The sequence below is a fragment of the Homo sapiens genome, chromosome 5 (assembly GCF_000001405.40).
Source record: "Homo sapiens chromosome 5, GRCh38.p14 Primary Assembly".
In the NCBI taxonomy this organism is placed as follows: Eukaryota; Metazoa; Chordata; class Mammalia; order Primates; family Hominidae; genus Homo; species Homo sapiens.
In genome coordinates, this window is record NC_000005.10 from 103,026,668 (window position 1) to 103,044,352 (window position 17,685).

Here is a 17,685-nt window from a genome sequence, read left to right on the forward strand (position 1 = left end):
ATAGTTTCTGATACTAGTGGTTTAATAAATTGTTGTTGAAAGAATGAATGAATAAATCAACCGAGCTCACAGAATAGATAACATATGAAAGAGACATGAAACAAAAAAGTTATAGTAGAGGGTGGTAAGTGCAGTGATAAATACACAGAGTAGTAGGAACAGTGGGGCCTAGGGGAAGGTGGCAGGAATTGTGGTAACCAACCCAATCTGGCAGAAGCAGTGGCTAGGGAATAAGGAAGATTTGGTCTCTCCTGTTTGTTGTTAAGCACATGTGACACAGCACTGTTACATGATGCTGACTTTACAGGAATGTGTTAGGAAGGTAGAGACCCAGGTAGAACCCTAGAAAATTGCCATTATTTGACCGTGTTTTACTTAGAAAAATTGCAGTTTCATATGTAGTAGTAGTAGATCAGCTTCTCACTTTTTTTCTGAATTTGTTCTTGATAGATCTTATCCAGTCTAAGGTTATTAAAAACCCTAATGGACCTTCCATTTATTCATCATTCCTTATTATGTATTGACTCCATATCAGACACTGTGCTAGGCACATGGGGATACAAAACTAAGGAATGTCCTTGCAGAACTTACAATCTAATTTGTTGGCTTTCTAACAGTCTTACCAGATTCTTCTTCCCTTCTTGCCTATTTCTTTCCACATCACTGTCTTCTCCCTTTCCTCTCATCTGCGCTATCTTTTTCCATGATGCTGACTTCAGTCCTGGTTAAAGACCTAACAGGACAACCCCAGGCCTGACTTTCCTGACCATAGCCCTTGAGGGAGTGATGAAGCCTGGGAAATAGTACAGGGAGAGACACAGCAAGGGAAAAAATGAAACCCATTGGGAGTTCTGTCTCCCCATAAGGAAAGAGAGTCTGTCCTTTATGGAGATAGGCAGTCCTGTTGGGAACATTTAGGTCACCTACTATGCTTGGAAAATACTCAGGGTGTCATGTGCTTTCCCTTCACTTATGTCTTACATAAAGAAGAAACGATATACATGGATCCAAAGCTTTCTCAAGCAAGATACGTACTGTCAGTAGAAAGAGTAAAGCTGAAGGCAAATATCCCTAAATTGTCATAACCAAAGATGGAAAAATTTTATAAATTATTAATAACATTTCCTGATTAAAAAAATAGCTATGATTTATTGAGCATTTACTGTATATCTATAGGTAGTGTTCTAAATGTGTCACATGCAGTGTCTGATCTCAGCCTTACAGACAGGGATTCTCCTTGACCTTTCTTTTGTCAGAGGAGAAAACTGAAGCTCAGAGAAGTAATTTATCAAGACTGCACAGCCAGTAAGAGACACGGGCAGGAGTCAAACCCAGCTTGGGCCCTTTATGTATGTCTCAGAAATATACCGCCTTTCTTAAAAATTAGAATTGCATACAGACAAGAGCCAGGCCTTGCTTTATCATTTACCAGTTCCTATTTTAAGTTGGAAGTTGAGTGCATGGGTTGAGAAAGATGACTGGGACTCATTTTGAAATGTGCCATCTTTTTTTAGCAGATTCTGAACACAAACTCGAGACGAGTTCAGGAAGAGTACTGGGAAGATTTAGAGGTATGCCTATGACCTTTTAGAACCCTTCATGTTTGGTTCAAAGTCAACAAGCACATGTCTTTTAAAAAGCAAGGAGATATTTCATATTTTGTCTCTGAAGATAAAGCACCTTGTATGCAGCTTAGCATCTCCCAGAGTAAATACAGAATGCACACCATAAACTAAACTGAAGTGCATGGGTCTGGCAGCAGATTTCCCAGTTTTATTTTTCCCATTCTGCATTATCTAATTCTCTTCCCCTGCCTTTTACCTGGCTTCATTTGTCTTCAGCAAATTTTCTGTCACTCCTGTTGGCATGTCAATGTTTGTCATAGTAAAGATGACCTTTTCTTAAAGTCATTGAAATGAGGAGCTGCTCCAGGGAGGCTAGTTCTGGATAGAGAGCTAGAGAAAAGCAGGAGGTGAAAGTGAATATGAAATATTCCTGCAGAAATACATAATACTTGGGAGCTTTTGTTTTTCTTCTTTAATAGTAGCATCTATATGGCTCTGTAGGATACGTCTCTGTCTGTTTTTCTATTTTATTTTTAAATAAAATAATCTCCCCTTTCCCATCCCCACCTTCTGACTTTATCATTTAAGAATTTACAAGGTAACAGACATTGCTGCAAACTTTACCCAATTCTGTTATTGTTTGCTTTTTTTCAGGAAAGGGAAGTGGAGGCTTAAACCTTGGTAATTTCTTTGCAAGCCGTAAGGGCTACAGTCGAAAAGGGTTTGACCGGCTTAGCACTGAGGGCAGTGACCAAGAGAAAGAGGATGATGGAAGTGAATCAGAAGAGGAGTATTCAGCACCTCTGCCTGCGCTCGCACCTTCCTCCTCCTGAAAACCAAGCTTTGATTTAGATTGAGTAAGATTTACCCAGAATGTCAGATTCCTTTCCCTTTAGCACGTTTAAAGTTCTGTGTATTTAATTGTAAACTGTACTAGTCTGTGTGGGACTGTACACACTTTATTTACTTCGTTTTGGTTAAGTTGGCTTCTGTTTCTAGTTGAGGAGTTTCCTAAAAGTTCATAACAGTGCCATTGTCTTTATATGAACATAGACTAGAGAAACCGTCCTCTTTTTCCATCATAATTCTAATCTAACAATGGAAGATTTGCCCATTTACACTTTTGAGACTTTTTGGTGGATGTAAATAACCCCATTCTTTGCTTGAACACAGTATTTTCCCAATAGCACTTTCATTGCCAGTGTCTTTCTTTGGTGCCTTTCCTGTTCAGCATTCTTAGCCTGTGGCAGTAAAGAGAAACTTTGTGCTACATGACGACAAAGCTGCTAAATCTCCTATTTTTTTAAAATCACTAACATTATATTGCAATGAAGGAAATAAAAAAGTCTCTATTTAAATTCTTTTTTAAATTTTCTTCAGTTGGTGTGTTTTTGGGATGTCTTATTTTTAGATGGTTACACTGTTAGAACACTATTTTCAGAATCTGAATGTAATTTGTGTAATAAAGTGTTTTCAGAGCATTAGCTGTCAGTGTATTTTCCAGTTTTTGCGTATTTGCAGATTTTACATACAACTTTTATAATAATTACACAAACCCACAAATATTAGTGAAACTTACTCGATGTCTTCAACTAAAAGAAATGTGTGTATTGTACAAAATTTAGAAGATACTTTAGCCAATATAAATTAAAAACCAGCCTGAGTTTACATAAATTTGTAAAGTCAGGCTCTTCTAAAATCCAAAGAGGGTTTTTGCCTATATATCAATCAGAGGATAAATACTTTAATAAAAGGTAATCACAGCTAAGTGGATACCTGTGTCTCAAATTACATATGCAAATGATCCATCAGTAGGGATCACTAATAATAGTTTTCCTTTTAAAAAATAATTTCAGGGCAGGTACAGTGGCTCAAGCCTATACTTCCAGGACTTTGGGAGGCCAAGCAGAAGGATTGTGGGAGGCCAAGCAGAAGGATTGTTTGAGCCCAGAAATTCAAGGCTGCAGTGAGCTATGATCAATCCACTGTACTCCAGCCTAGGCTACAGAGTGAGATCCTTTCTCTAAAATAAAATACAATTTCCATGTATCCATAGGAATATATTCATCTTTTACAGTGATTGCAGATTAGTTTTAAAACGTCTTTTTCGTAATTCGTCAATGCAAGTTAGTAAGAACCAGATAATTTTCCATTTTAAAATGATAGGAATCTAAAACTCTTTTTCAAAAATGCCAACCTGTTTTTCCGGCATCATAGTAGTTGGAATAATACAGATATAATTGACTAATCATAAAGTACATGAGAGTACAGAAGGGAAATTTGGAAACGGTAAGTCTGCTAGGGCATTACAATCCTGTCCTAGCACTCCACCTTTATTCTGCCAACCTGGGTTAATTAAAGATGGTAGCCTGGAAAGTAATGAATGACATTGACTTCAGGCAATCTTTCCACTGATTATTCTTGGCTGAACTTCATTTATCGAGTCAGAGAATGCACTGCCTGAGAAATGTCCCAGAGGAGTGAATCCTAGGCCTGGCCACAGTAGAATCGCCTGGAGAATTTAAGAAAAAAATTGTTGGGCACTCACTCTTTCCAGTGATCTTTATTTAGTTGGCTTACAATGGAATACAGGTATGGTTCATGTTTTTAAATTTGTCCAGGTGTTTCTATTGTGCAGTCACAGTTGAAAACCATTGTCTTCGAGAATAGCTATTCTATCTTGCCAGTTACAATAAGTGGATAGCTATATTTTCACATAAATTATAGTTTACAGATGTTTGGAGGGGGAAGACAGGATCTGAGGTGTTTTGATATGACTGTTAGCACCAAAATCTGAATGCCTTAATTGTTGAATGTGTTAAATTGGATAATTAAAATGGGCATAAATGACTTATTAAAAAAGCAAAGGGAAACAGCTGTGCTTTCATTTTTTCTTCTATTAAAGTACCTTGAAAATTTGATTTGGGAGAGTTAAAAGAATAGCTTGTCATTCACTGAATTGGCCCTGAATTATCATTTGCATAAAATCTTTTGTTCTAAGCTTTCCTCTTTAGTTTATTAAATCAGCATATTATTTTTCAAAATTACCGTGCATCTTTTAACTCTCATCCAGATGTTATATAAAATCAAATATTTAGGAAACTGAATGACAATTAAATCCATAGAATCTGTATTAGTGCTTGTTTCCCAGACTGTCACCTACATGTAGCTCAAAGTTGATGTAGCCTGTAGCAATACGTCTCAAACTTTAATGTGGGTAAGAATCAACTGTGAGTACTTATTTTAGAAGTACTAATTTGGTCCCTTTCCCATAGTTTCTGATTCACTGCACTGGGTGGGTCCTAGAAATCTACATTTTTAAGAAGCATTCCTGGTGATTTGAATTCAGGTGTTCCATGGTTCATCTCCAAGAAACATAGTGCTACAGAGAGTAGCTGAACTTTAAAACATTCTTAGGCACAGGAAGTTAATATTCTCAAAGATGTGGTCTCTGTAGAGTGATGGTTAGGCCTAGAAGTCATCAACCCCAGTGCCTCAAACTCAATTCATGAAAAATCCCATATGCAAATTATCTTCAGGGCCAGAACTTAGCAGCAGCTTCTTCCTTTAGTCCCCTGATGCTCTTTATTCCACTAGGGAAATAACTTAGGTGCATAGAAAGGCCACTAGTGGCCTCCCTAGAGGCCTCCTTTTTATTTTTGAATCACATCTAAAGGCTAGAATAAGCAAATCTATTTGGAGTGTTTTTATAGTATCATGATTTAATTAAAAGAACTTAATCATTGATGATGGTAAATATGATTCCTGTTCATAGCCTTAAAAATTTTGAAACACCAAAACACAAAGATGTCTATCACATATCCAAAGTACTGATATAAAAAAAGGACGTGAATTTTTCTGGGTTTCAAAATTGAGTATACACTGTACTATCATACAGAAAGGATTTACCAATGAAAACCTGGTTTAAAAAAAGTGCTCTTATTCAGATATACCAAGATATAATACAAAATAGGAGCTTATAAAAAACAAGTATGACAATAGAACTCTTTTTGTTTTTGAACAAAAATGCATTTTATACAAACTCCCTTAAAATGAATAAGTCATATAAGAATGCTGTATTTGAGGACACCGTGCCAGTCTGGTGTTAGCTTCCAGCCCTCATTGTGGAAGGTGACAGCAGTCATGGTGATATTTGAGCAGATGAGAGCCAATGTGGGCATGTTGCTCCAGGGTATCAACAGGAACAATCCTGAGAAGCTGGCCACCCTGGAGTGCTACGTGGAGATGCAGGCCAAGGACACTGCCTATGATCTGGAAGCCAACCCAGTTGTCCTGAAGCTGTACCAGTCCAACCCAGTGTTTTTTCAGACCACGGACACTGCCCAGATCCAGCTGAAGGCCCTCACCAACCTGCCACATACCAACTTCACCCCGTGTAAGTGCATGATTGGCCAGGCACATCAAGAAGAGTGGCCATCTGACAGATTTTGTATCTCAAGGACCTGCTGGAGACCAGCCTCTTTCAGGCCTTCTGGGAAGCCCTGGATGAAAACGTGGACCTCTTGGAAGGTATAACTGGCTTTGAAGACTCTGTCCGAATGTGTATCTGCCCTGTCGTGGGTATCACTTACCAGCACATCGACCACTGGCTGCTGGCCGAGATGCCTGGGTATCTGTCGGACAGCCAGCTGAAGGTGTGGATGAGAAAATACACCTGGAGGGCTGATGAGTCCCAGCAGATCTTCATCTGTAGCCAGGAAGAGAACATTAAGCCCAAGAACCCTGTGGAGAAGATAGACTTTGACAGTGTGTCCAGCATCATGGCCTTCTTCCAGTAACTGCAGGTGTTTAATAAAGATTTGTTGACTTAAAAAAAAAGAATATTATATAATTCTTCATGCCTTCAAAATATACATATATTGTCTAGAAAACTGATGGGTAAGTTGAGTCCTTTCTGATGCTAGTTCTAGCCTCGTACTCCTTTGCCTAATAATTTTACCTTCTCAGCAGGAGATTTCTCATGATGAAAACTCCCTGTAGTTGTGATTCTCTGCTTTGTTTATTTGGTAATTAACTTGTCCTCTGTAATTGGAAGAGTGTCAACCATGCATGTAGCTAGAACAACACAATTGCACTGGTTCTTACAACTCACTTATACTTCCAGATAAGGAGACAGCACTATTCAATAGAATGGCCCAGTCTTAGCCATTCTTTTGAGTTTGCAAAGAACACTGGGTTAAGGTCAGAAAAGATCTGAAATTTTGAGTTCTAGATTTGATTATTTTACATACCATTGTCTTAGGCTTCTTTAGTAATCACAAACAAATTCAAACAGGTTTAAGAACTAAACATGTTCTTGTTATAAATTCTTGTTATTAAGAATTACTATATAATAAATGAGGAAAATAACAATTTATCAATAAAAAATATTATTGTTTGATTCATATAACTGAAAAGCCCAGGCATGGCTAGATCCAGAGACTCAGATGAAACAAACAGGATTTGGCTTCCCTCTCAGTTTGGCTTGCTTCTATATAGGGTTTACCTTCATTCAGACTCTCCACATATGTGGTAATGTCAGAGGATCCAGCCCGGATCCCATGCCTGCCAAGGGCAAGCCAGGCACAGAGCAGCAAGGGGTGCATGAGTGAGCGAGTATGGGGTCCGGCCACTGCGCACTGCCAGGTATGCTGGCTGTAGCAGGGCAGGTAGCTCTCAGTGCTGGCACAGGTACTGGCTCCCTGCAAGGCTGCAGCTGCACCAGGCATACCACAAATGGCTTCCACTGTGGGCACTGGGGAACGCAGTGGGGCCCAGAAGCTTGGAGAGGCCAGGAACTGCAGAGCCCCAAAGAGGGTGTCAACACCCTGGCTCGGGTGCTCCTAGGTCTGGGCTCCCTGAAGGGCTACAGCTCATCCCTCCTTCTCTCTTCTCTCCTTCTTGTCACCCACAACGTGGTAAGCAAGGGGCATGTTTCAGCTCTGTTTGTGTTACCACTCTTCAGTTCTACCATTAGGCAGGTCCCGAGTTCTTGTCTCATGTCTGAGAAGAATGAGGTATGTGGCCATCTGGAGGGTGAGTAAGGTGAAGATGTGCTTTATTGAGCAAGAGTACAGCTCTCAGGAGACCCAAAGTGGGTAACTCCTTTCTGCAGGCAGTTCATCCCAATGAGTTCAGCTCTCAGTGGAGGGGCGACCTGGAGTGGGTGAGCTCCTCTCTGCAGGGAGGTCATCCTGACATCTGCTCAGCTCTCAGCTGAGAGGAGACCCACAGTGGGTAGCTCCTCTCTGCAGGCATGTCCTCCCAATGTCTGCTCAACTCAGCTGAGAGGAGACCCACAGTGGGTAGTTCCTCTCTGCAGGAAGGTCATCCTGACGCCCTAGTACAGCTGAGTCCAGGGTTTTTCTGGGCTTTGGAGGAGAGGAAGTACATGTTGATTGGTCCATGGGCAGCCACGGGCAAGTCAGATAAAGCACCATAAGTTCTCACTCTGGTCCACGGAACTGGCACTCTGGGCCTCAGGCTTCATGCCATCCCAGGCCTGAAGGTGGAGCTTCACCAGGGACCTGCCCCTTTCTGCCCAGAAGCCTGTCTGCCTCCCTCCGCCATCAACCTGCTGTTCACCCAAACTGTTTGTGCCCGGAGCACCTGCAGGCTTGTGCCAAGCCATCCTCAGCAACCTCCCAGCCTCCCTCCTGTGCTCATTAGCACCCAAAATCCAGAGGGGGCCAGAGTGGCAGGGGGCTGGCATGTCAGCACTGCTCCTAGCATGCACACACCCAGCCAGGTCATGACAGCACCTGAGCTTGGCCTCATCTTTGCTCCAAAATTGCAGTGGGTGCCAGGAGCAGGGAAAGGCCAGGCAGTGAAAGCAGGTATTTCTAAGCCTGTGGGGGCAAGAAGGGCTTCCTAGGTCCCCAACAGTGCAGAGATGTCTAGGTCCACAGCTACGGCTGGGTGGTTACAGCCCCCTCCAACTTGGAAGGGGGCGGGGCTTCTGCTTGTTCCTGGCTCCTGTGTTCCAGGGAGCATGCAGTCCTGACTCCGCCTCCCCCATGGCAGCCAGCATCATGGCAGCCTGCTCCTAGACCGGCCACGGCTGCCATCAGTAATAAAGGTGGCAGCCAACAGTTCTAGGTTTAGATGCTACCAGCATTTACTCTGACATATATGGTTTCTCTTTCCAAAGAGTTCCAATACACTAACTGGCCTGATTTGGTTCGTGTGTATCTTAGTCAATTTTGTGTTATTATAAAATAATACCTGAGGCTGGGTAATTTATAAAGGAAAGAGGTATATATGTCTCATGGCTCAGCAGGCTATACAAGAAGCATGGAACTGGCATCTGCGTTTGGTGAGGGTCTCAGGCTGCTTCTGCTCACTGTGGAGGGTGAAGGAGAGCCAGCATATGCAGCAATCATATGGGGAATAAGGAAGCAAGAGAGAGAGGAGAAGGTGTCAGTCTTCTTTTAACAACAGGCTCTGGAGGGAGCTAATAGAGTGAGAACTCACCCCAAAAGAGGGCATTAATCTGTTCATGGGCGATCTGCCCCCATAACCCAAACACTTCCTATTAGGTCCCACTTCTGAACTTGGGGATCAAATTTCAATATGAAATTAGGTCAGAACAAACCATATCCAAACTACAGCAATGTGCCAACCCCAGAACCAGTCACTGGGGCCAGGGAAAATGTGATGCTGGATTAGCCAAGCCTCCATGGAGCCAGGGACACAGTCACGTTCCACAGTAACTACATTGATGATTCAGAAAGATTGGTTTTCCCCAAGGAAACATAGGATACTATTGCTAGTTGAATAAGAGCAGATTCTATGGAAGAAAAAAGAGTGGATATTCATTACTGTTATATTGGACCTTAACACTTAACCATAATATTTCTCAGATAATGGGGTTTAATGTAATAGCTATTTGTGTAATGTTTAAATTATTACATTAAAAAGAGACATTTTATAATTAAGTCTATACTAATGTATTTATGAAGATAGCCTCAAGGGGTCCCACAAACAATATTGAATACAAGAAGAAATGTTAAACTTTGTTTTGTTAAAATAACAATGAAAACCAAAAAATACATACACGTCCAAGAGTAGAGATTTGAGGCTTAAAAGCTATCTTTATACTATGATATCTACCCAGAAAAAGGTTGATAGAAACATCCAGTCAAAAAAAGAGACAAAGTGATCAAGAACCAAAATTTGATGTTCAGTGAATACTACTTATTGTGAAACAAACATGCAAGCAAATTACGGTGTTCTGTTGTCTCCACTTTTTACTTTGAAAATTTTAAAGCTACAGAATTATTGAAGACTTACAGTGAACACCCATATATTCCTCACTTAAATTTATAGTGCTTAACATTTTGCCATATTTTCATTCTCTCTCTCATAGATACACACACATATGTGTACATACACACTAGTTTGTTTACTTTCGCTGAACCATTTGAAAATAAGTTGCATTATGTGCAATTTTTGTATTCAGATTATACCTTAAAGCTAGAAAAAAACTGTTTAAATAAAGACAACAGGAGGAACTTGGGGTGGAAGCTGCATACATCATAACCTTCACCCTAAATACTTCCATATGTATTGCCCAAGAACTAGGACATTCTCCTACATAACCACGAAACCATTACTACACTCAGTAAACTTAACACATTCTTTATTATCAACCAATATGTAGCTCATATGGAAACCCTCAATGTCCCCATAAAGTCCTTTGGAGCTTTTGATTTTTGATCCAGGATCCAATTAAGATTCATACAATGCATCTGCTTATATCTCTTTTGTCTCCTTTGACCTAAAGTAATTCTGTATCATTTTTTCCTTCCAAAACATGGACATTTTTGAAGAGTCCAAGTCAGTTGTCTAGCACAATGTCTCCCTGTCTAGATTCATACGGCTGTTGCCTCATAATTGTGACATTTCCTACTTTCCACTGCTTCATATTGGAGGCACATAATGTCGTTTTCCCCCCATTATTGATGATACCAAATGTGGTCACTTCAGTAAGATTGTGTCCACTAAATCTCTTCATTGTACATGTTCCACTTCCACTTTGTCTTTAGAAAGTAATCTGAGAGAAAACACTCTGAGACCATATGAGTATCGTGTTCCCTAACGACATTTTACCCAATAGTTTTAGGTATTCAACCATTTTCTGAATCCATAATTTTGAGGGAGTTCTCAAATAATGATTTTCTAACTCCATCATTTCATCTTTACTTAATTGCTGGCATTCTTCTGTAAATGACTGAGACTCTTACTCTCCCACCCTAAGAGAATTTGGCAGCATTCATTCAGGTGCATAAAACAATTTCCTCATTTTATTTGTAAGCAATATGACATGCACCCAAAATTCACGGTATAAATATGGTCGAATATCTTGTTTTCCTACTTAATTACTCAAGTCCTTACCTCGCTTATTGGCAGAAAGTCAATTATCACCTTTCATTGGTTGGCTTCCCCATCTTTTCCCTCCTCTGGAATTGTTAAAAACAACAACAACAAAAACCAAGAAAACAAAGACAAAACCTATGTCCCTTCAAAAGGCATGGATAGAATCAGCAGTAGATTTCCAGATGCAACAAGGGCATATTCAAGTGTAAGGCAACCATGCTGCAATTGCTTCTTGCTGCCTCATGATGTCACTGATGAAGATTGTTATCTATTAATATACCAGTCCTAAAAAAACATGCTCCCCTGCTAGCTGCCGTAATTCAGACCGCCCTCCCTGAGTGCTGTACGTGCTTTCTAAGGGCCGATCTTTTTAGTGCTAGGTTCTTTTAGTTCACACACAGGCTCAGGAGTCCTGGGTCAGGGCTGATTCTCATATCTGTGCTTCATGGACACAAAACCACCACCTGCTTTTCCTTCATATAATCCATACTAGGGGTCAGGAGCTTCTGCTCTTAAACCTCAAAACCCAGAGTTACATCAGTCCTCCTTTACTAGAGATGGGCTGGCCATTTTTGTTCTGTATCCCTTTCCCAAAGATACTCTAGTGAGTCTCAAGTACTCAACCCTACCTAGCCAGAGGCACTTCCTTCCATGATTCAAAGGTGATTTCTGACACCTGTTTGTCATTTAGCAAACACTGCTGAAAGTTTCACAAACAAAAACTAAGTTCTTAGGATACAGTGTTAAAGGGCAATAACCTACCTGTATTGAGATTTATATTCTAATGGCTTTTTTTTTTTTGTAAAGAAGAACAAAACTAAAATGTAGTCCCTGGCTGGGCATCTCAGTCATACATTAATAGATTTTTTTTTTTTTTTAATGAGGCTCAAAGAAAAGAATTAACTAATCTAGTTACACTAATCCCAATGCCTCTTTAGGTTAATTTAGTTTCTGGCACTTTGAATTTTCAGAGTTTATTTTCTCTTGTACTGTATTTCCCAGAAGTCATAGAATTCTTAGAAATCTTCTGGAGTTCTAAATTTCTAGAGTCTTGTTCTGAGACCTGTTTGGCCTCCATTTGAAAGAAAGAGATCCCTCCTTAAAAACAAAACCACAATTCTCACATCTGTGATAAAATATGGTACCCAGGTAACCCAACACCAGCATGGCACATGTATACATATGTAACTAACCTGCACATTGTGCACATGTACCCTAAAACTTAAAGTATAATAATAATAAATAAATAAATAAATAAATAAATAAATAAATGAAAAAATAAATAAATAAATTGAAAGGTGAAGGATTCATTCAACAGGCATTAATTAAGTTTATCTGCAAAATACAAAGATGAAAAAAGCACAGATCCCTTAAATGTCTGTAATCTAGTAAGGTAGCTAAAATAGCATATAACTAATTAGATTTTAAGGCATAAGAAGAAAACAAGTAAAATGCTATCAAATTGTTATTGAAGAGCAGAAAGGCTTCATAAAAAAGATAGTATTTGAGGCCGGGCGCGGTGGCTCACGCCTGTAATCCCAGCACTTTGGGAGGCCGAGGCGGGCGGATCACGAGGTCAGGAGATCGAGACCATCCCGGCTAAAACGGTGAAACCCCGTCTCTACTAAAAATACAAAAAAAAAAAAAAATTAGCCAGGCGTAGTGGCGGGCGCCTGTAGTCCCAGCTACTTGGGAGGCTGAGGCAGGAGAATGGCGTGAACCCGGGAGGCGGAGCTTGCAGGGAGGCGGAGCTTGCAGTGAGCCGAGATCCCGCCACTGCACTCCAGCCTGGGCGACAGAGCGAGACTCCGTCTCAAAAAAAAAAAAAAAAAAAAAAAAAAAAAAAAAGATAGTATTTGAGTAAGCAGAGGAGGTTTATCGGAAAATGCTTGTTATAGTAGGGGATTAACAACAGGGCTATATTCCATAACACTCAGGCTAGTTTAGGGGAGCAGTAGTGGATGGGCTGGAAAGCCAGGCTGATAAAACTAGAAATATTTCAAAACCATGAGAAGGAATTGGAATGTAACTGCATTTTACATACTTGTTTTTTTCATACATGTTAATATGCTGAGAGCTGTTAGTAAAAGTAAAAAAGTGTTTTCTTTACTGAACAGAACAAAGAAAAGAACAAATTATACTTGAAATAAAATCTCAAGTTAGTCTGAATTCCTAGGAAATGGAGTATTGTTCTATATAAATACTGGATAAAAGCTCTTTATCAGACATATGATTTGCAAATATGTTTTCTTAGTATGTGGACTACCTTTTCATTCTCTCAGCCTTGTCTTTCAAAGGGAAGTTTTTAATTTTATATTTAATTTTAATCTCTCTCTCTCTCTCTCTTTGTGTGCTTGTGTGTGTGTCTGTCTCTCTCTATGTCTTTATCTGTATCTCCAGCCCACAGCTCTGTTTTCCTCAGTGTTGGCTTTATTCTCTAGAATGTTCTTTCTATGTGATATAAAAATGTCTCTAGTTGATATCTATAAAAATTTAAAGAGAGAGACTCCCCTATGCACCCCAAATCTGTATCAATCCCCAAAAGGATTCAGAAACACAAGAACACTAGTATTTTCTTTCTCAGAAATGACAACAGATATGCAATAACTTACCCATTAGTCCTTGCAGCTCACTATTTCAAGAGAGGAAACTTTTCCTTGAAGCCTCTAAGACAGTTTCGGTCACATGCATTGTGTGGCCATTTCTGAGCTAATCCATAGCAAAGAATGGCCCATGGCTCTACCCATGGAGAAGTGCTAGCCACTTAAACAAAATTTGGGTAGGAAAAAAGAAAACGGTTGCTGAGTAGGTAACAGACAATCCACTACAGACCGGCCACAGTTCATGTTTAGAAAATAACATTTGTTTATTGATGGATATCTGCTAAGCTCCCTGACCTCAAGTATCTCACAATCTAAAGGGAAAATAAAGCATAAATTCACTTCATTAAGTTCAGTGATGGATGTAAAGTCAGATATTTGACAAAGTTCAGAATGAGGAATCACAGAAGGTGTATGTTAATGTTCAAGAAAACAGAAAAAATTTTAAACAAAAGTTGTAGGTAGAAGTTGGTAGTGGAGAACTTTCTTTGCATAGTTCTTTAGTAGTAAATTAGCTTTTTAAATCACCCTAGTACCTATCTAAAAATCAAATATTGTATAATTTTCTTATTATGTCATTGATGCTCTTCCAGTAAGAATTTAATTCCAGAGTAATAAGAATCCAATAAAAGTTTCAAAAAACAAAGATTCTAAGTGAGAAGTGAAAGTATGTCCTGAAAAAAGGCTGCATAGTATTGCATTGGTCTCAAAGTTACTGGGCTGAAAAGAGCCTGAATTCCAGATCACAGTGTATAAAATATTTTAGTGTCACTTTCATATTGTATATGTAAATACTTAGATGTTTTATGATGTTATTTTCTCAAAATACCTAGTATATACTTTTCATTATTTAGATAGATTAGAATAGATATGTGGATTATAAATACATAAATAAATAGATAATCAATTGACAATTGATTAATAAACAGACTGACAGTCATAGAAAGAAGGAGTGGAAGAGTCGGTGAGGGAAGGAAAGATGAGGGAGATATCCACATACATAGATTTTTCATAAAGAGTTCTTCAGGGTAGTTATTACCATTGCAGTGAATGACTGACATCTGGTGGTAAACTTAATAAAACATTTGTGTGGATTTGCGCATTCAAAAATAGGTGTTATTTAGTGGATGATGGCCGTCTTCAAGTAGAATAATTTAAAATACTGCCAGTCTTTCAGTTTTTATGTCTACATTATGCCAAGCATCCAAATATTTTAAAATATCTGCAACTCAGGTGTCACACAGATGCTGACAGTATCTGTATTCTCTTCACCAAAAGAGTCACTATTAACACACCAAAAAGAAAATAATTAAAGTGTGCTGGGTTTGCGTATTAAAAATAGGAGGAATATTTTTAAAACCCAGTGACTGTCAAAAAGGTTAAATGGTGATCTATTACTGTATAGTCTTCTGTCTAATTAGCTTCCTGGCTAAATTTATGTTGACCTAAGTTGGTTGCATTATCTCTTGATTAAACTAATAAACCAGTCATCTAGGCAATGAATATTCATTCACAGCCTACCCTGTGATGAGCTCTATGTAACGTACAGAATTATAAGTAAAACATGGTTCTTGCCCTTAAAAAAATTACAGCCTTATTGAAAAGAAATGACTAGCAAATAAGAAACGAGTAGAGAACCATTTATAACAGTATACATTATACAGTACAGAGAGTAATTAATTTGAACAGAAAAATGAAAATTACGATGATTGGAATTGTTAGGTGATATGGTTTGGATCTGTGTCCCCATCTAAATCTCATGTCAAATTATAATCCCCAATGCTGAAGGTGGGGCCTCGTGGGAGGTGATTGGATCATGGGAGCGGTTCCTTCATGAATGGTTTAGCACCATCCCCTTGGTGCTGTTCTTGTGATAGAGTTCTTGTGATATCTGCTTGTTAAAAAGTATGCAGCACCTCACCACCCCTCAACTCTCTCTCTTGCTCCTCCTCCCACCATGTAAGATTCCTGCTCCGCCTTTGCCTTCTGCCATAAGTAAAAGCTTCCTGAGGTCTCCCCAACAGCAGAAGCCACTGTGCTTCCTGTACAGCCTGCAGAACTGTGAGCCAAGTAAACCTCTTTTCTTTCTAAATTACCCAGTCTTGGGTATTACTTTATATCAATGCAAGAACACACTAATATATCAGGTAAGATTTACTGAGGTAGATAGGATTAGAACTGAGCTTCTAAAAACAAGAAAGATATGAAGTGGAATGGTAAAAAAGATACAGTAGAAACTCCAGGTGATGGCGATGAGTAAAGAACAGAGGCATAAATGAACATGAACATAGTAAACCCGTGGAACAGTGTTCTGATAAAGGGAATAGAATATTTTGAGAAATAGTGTTCCACTATTTGGCAGGCCCAGAGTAGAGTAAACTTTGTGATATCAGGTTTTGTTTGTGTTTGTTTGTTCATGTGATAAGAAATAGGGATAGTTACATGTTGTCTTCAAATGGGTAGTGACATAACAAAAATATTAAGGAAGTGAACTGGTAGTGGACAGAAGGCTCCATTGGAAAGGTGACTGAAAATAAACTGGAGTCAGGAAGGCCACTGAATAAAATTTTGAGGTAAAGTAACCTTGGAGGCTGGCAGTGGGAACTGAATAGAAAGAATGGTGTCTTGGTCTGTTTAGCGTCACTGTAACAGAAAATCTGAGACTGTGCAATTTGTAAAGAAAAAAGGTTTATTTAGGTCATGGTTCTTCAGGCTGGAAAGTTCACGGGGATGACCTTGGCTTCTGGTGAGGGCTTTTGTTCCACATCATAATTAAAAAGAATGTTTAGTGATAAAATGTTACTTGATCCTAGGGGCCTAGGTTTTGGCTGTTTTGTTAAAAGAAAACCTTCAGAAAAATTAAATTTAACAGAGTTTAATTGGGAAAAGGATGATTGGCAAATTGGGTAGCCCTCAGAACCAGAATAGGTTCAGAGTGATTCCAGGGCTGCCAAATGGTCTGAATGTTTGCCTTATTTGAACCTGGTTTGAACAGTTAGCTGCCTATGGATGACTGAAGTTCAGCTGCTGTGATTGGCTGGGACTTGGCTACTTGTTACAAGAATAGGTTACAGTTGGTTTATACATCAAGTTAGGTTAGAGTCCACGATGCACAGAGAAACCTTCAGGCAAAATCTAAAATATGCATGAGCAGATTTTGGCCAAACTTAATTTAACAATTCCCCCTTTTGGTCAATCTCTCAATTTTAAGAGTTTGATCAAAATTTTAAGCATTGACATCACTCTCTATCAACATTGTAGATGGACTTATTTGGTCTCAAATTCTACTAGGAAATAGCAGAACAGTAGGTTTTGTAAGGTGGGAACAACGAAACAGAACAATAGAAATACAAGTTGGTTGACATAAAGTTACTTCGGCTTACTTTTTTGTAAGGGTTGGAGCAGAGGCTACTTTCTTATTGTACTGGAATATCCCATTTTCAAGAGAAAAAAAATGATCTGTTTTGGGATCTATCGCTTTCCTTAAATTTCCAGTTTAATTATATGGCACTTAGCATGAGTGACTTCATTTTGGTTTAGTCTGGTCTCTTGGGACTTAGTGCAGGAGCTCAATCCAAAATAATGGCCTGCTATGATTTTGTTTAATAATTTGCCCCTTTTGGTCAGTTTCTCACTAAGGTGAAAGTGTGACCAAAACTTAGGGCATCACCATTACTCTCAGTTACCATCATTTTGGGTTTTCTGTCTCAGCACATCATTAATAGGTGATGGTGTCCTCATGATCATAAATTTTTTGAGTTTTAATTGTTCCAGTCTGACAGACCATTGGATGATCTACATATGGTTACATGCATATATTTAAAACTTAAGAGAATACAGCAGACCAATGAGACTACTATTAAGACTATCAGAAGGATAGCACCAAGAGTTGGGAGTATGTTCCTTAGCCAGGGTCTCCATGAACCAAACCAACTAAAATCAAATAAATCAAAGAATGGGCCAGATGAAGAGTCTACTTGTTTTAACCAAGCAGCCTGTTTGTTAATTCCCTGTGACTGAGTCTATAACATCTAATGTATTCATCCCTGTGTGCAAAAAGAAGTGTCAGCAACTGTACAGATTCCTTTCTGTTTAGCCAGTAGGTAATCTAGAGCAATTCTATTATCTAGCACAATGTTAGC

The 17,685-nt window shown here is 39.1% G+C and overlaps 1 protein-coding gene and 1 pseudogene across 54 annotated transcripts in view, besides 2 other annotated features; both read left to right on the forward strand.

Annotated features, from left to right (window-relative positions):
- Window positions 1-4,438, forward strand: part of PAM (peptidylglycine alpha-amidating monooxygenase) — a 276,323-nt gene extending 271,885 nt beyond the window's left edge. For 20 of the 54 annotated variants that reach the window (NR_033440.1, NM_001319943.1, XM_017009496.3 and 17 more), the window contains 2 exons: window positions 1,518-1,571; window positions 2,220-4,438. Coding sequence is in view for 53 of the 54 variants with exons in the window: in NM_001319943.1 (NP_001306872.1) it covers window positions 1,518-1,571; window positions 2,220-2,398 (233 nt within the window). In the remaining variant the exon portion in view is untranslated. Of the gene's footprint in view, window positions 1-1,514; window positions 1,572-2,219 lie in introns of all 54 variants that reach the window. The other 34 variants (XM_024446066.2, XM_017009495.3, XM_017009502.3 and 31 more) reach the window with 4 other exon arrangements.
- Window positions 1,223-2,422: an enhancer, noted in NCBI's record as "CDK7 strongly-dependent group 2 enhancer chr5:102363594-102364793 (GRCh37/hg19 assembly coordinates)". NCBI's record gives its function as "activates an origin of replication core promoter dependent on BRD2, BRD4, P300/CBP, MED14 and CDK7 cofactors, with strong dependence on CDK7, by STARR-seq in HCT116 cells {active_cell/tissue: HCT116}" and the evidence as "EXISTENCE:reporter gene assay evidence [ECO:0000049][PMID:35650434]".
- On the forward strand, window positions 5,646-6,394 carry EIF3KP1 (eukaryotic translation initiation factor 3 subunit K pseudogene 1; annotated as a pseudogene).
- Window positions 14,438-14,732: a silencer, noted in NCBI's record as "tiled region #7406; HepG2 Repressive non-DNase unmatched - State 12:CtcfO". NCBI's record gives its function as "represses a minimal TATA promoter and a strong SV40 promoter by Sharpr-MPRA in HepG2 cells {active_cell/tissue: HepG2}" and the evidence as "EXISTENCE:reporter gene assay evidence [ECO:0000049][PMID:27701403]".